We start from the raw sequence: 1,870 nt of genomic DNA on the forward strand, positions 1-1,870 counted from the left end.
ACACATTTTTATGCTTTTATAACTTTCCTTATCAAATGCATATTTTGCTTTGGTTATACACTATATACAGAATTGTTTCTCTCATATGTAGTTGTTTTTAATGCCTAATAACTGGAAATTTCTAGTAAAAACCCTAGAAAGAAATTTTGAACTGTTTTATGTTAGGATTTGCAAATTTAAAACCATTTTATAATTTTTGAGAAAAATAGTTTTTCAAATTATTGTTTATTGACAGATCTAAATATATTTACCTTGTCTATACCACGTAAAAGTAAGATGTCAAGGTATATAGACTTAAACTCAAGTTCAGTAATTAATATTTCAGTATCTTAACTTACAAATGACTCAGACATTTTATGATTTTTAGAAATGCTTGTTCCCCGGTGCCATAAAGAAATAGCACTTGGGCATAAATTTAATTTCCTCAAAAAGGCCATTTTTACTTTCTGCAGAAAGGGTACACTCACCAGCAGTCTTGCCACGGGAGTATACCGAACAAAGGAGACAGGGTCATTTATAACCTGACACGTCTACCCTACTGCTGTGTCCGGTTTCCGTTGGCTGGAACGGGACCTCACATTCTGTATTTGTCCAGATTGGCTAGCAACTTAGAGCTTTTAAAAAGAGGCAAAGGCAGAGGACACCAAAGGAAGGAGGAAGTAACTTGTGGAATGCTGAGAAAGGTAAAAACACCTTCACATAAGGAAGAGGCACAGGCTATGACCTAATGCTTGCTTGGACCAGTATGAGCATGCCAGGGCAAATATTTAGGCTAAATTGTGGGAGCTAAGAACATAAAGTACATTGATTTCTTTATTACCGCTAGCAGATATTGAAGAATGTTAGCACAGGTCTTTGAATAAATTTTGTTTCTAAGAGAAAGTTACTATTTATTCCTAATTAGATGGGGAGGAAAGTCTTTGAAGAGGAAGCTCTACTTTACTTTTTACATGATTATTACTTAATTTAACATAACATGACTCAAAGATTTTAAATGACTGAAATGAATTTTGAAACTATGACACATGTCACCTCTCTAATGTCTTCCCCCAGTCATTCCAGGTCCCAATTAGCCACCTGGCAACCAGGAGGATCTGAAGGCCAAGGCCTGACTGAGACCATCAGGACAGAAGACAGAGCTGTGAAGACTATACCTGGAGGATCCAGCCCCTCCCAAAATAGCCAGGAGGCAAAACAGGGAAAGAAGAGGAATAAAGGGTCATATTGGGCTTGGTTCTGGCTTGCAGTTGCTGGTCTAGGCACTAGGAACCTGTCTCCTGACTTTGTCATGGTCACCTATCTAGACCCCTGAATCCAGAGACTCTAAACAAAAGACATAAGCTCACAGTGAAATCAAGCAAGTATCCAATTATATTTCATTGATAATTTTAAAGCCATTTCTATTTGACCAACAATTTAAAAACTAGCTTTATTTACCAAATATCACATCTACATAACACACACAGACATACGAACACACAGAAGCAGACCTCATAGCTCTCATAAGGGATTTTCATTTATCTGCTTTTAAATAGTTTGTCTTTTCCCCATTCGGTCTATCAGTCTTCCAATTACCAGTTTCATTACTCTAAGCAGTCGTTAACTAGGCAGTTTCGATTTCTAAAAGGACAACTCTTAGGTGGAACCAAAAAAAAATATTTCATGAGCACAGAGCTAAGACGTTAGGCCTAAATATTGTATCATCATTTGCTCAAACCAAGGGAAAAAAACGACACTCTCACGAAAGTTCCATCAAGAAAAAATGGCCAGAAAAGCACCTTAAACAAAGGTATGACTTATTATGTAAACTTAAAAGAATGGTAAGAATTTCTAATGTAATAACCAGATATCCATAAAAATTGAGATTTCC

The 1,870-nt window shown here is 36.4% G+C and overlaps 1 annotated feature.

Annotated features, from left to right (window-relative positions):
• Window positions 258-1,457: an enhancer, noted in NCBI's record as "MED14-independent group 3 enhancer chrX:144556098-144557297 (GRCh37/hg19 assembly coordinates)". NCBI's record gives its function as "activates an origin of replication core promoter dependent on BRD2, BRD4, P300/CBP and CDK7 cofactors, and independent of MED14, by STARR-seq in HCT116 cells {active_cell/tissue: HCT116}" and the evidence as "EXISTENCE:reporter gene assay evidence [ECO:0000049][PMID:35650434]".

The sequence above is a fragment of the Homo sapiens genome, chromosome X (genome assembly GCF_000001405.40).
Source record: "Homo sapiens chromosome X, GRCh38.p14 Primary Assembly".
NCBI classification, from domain to species: Eukaryota; Metazoa; Chordata; class Mammalia; order Primates; family Hominidae; genus Homo; species Homo sapiens.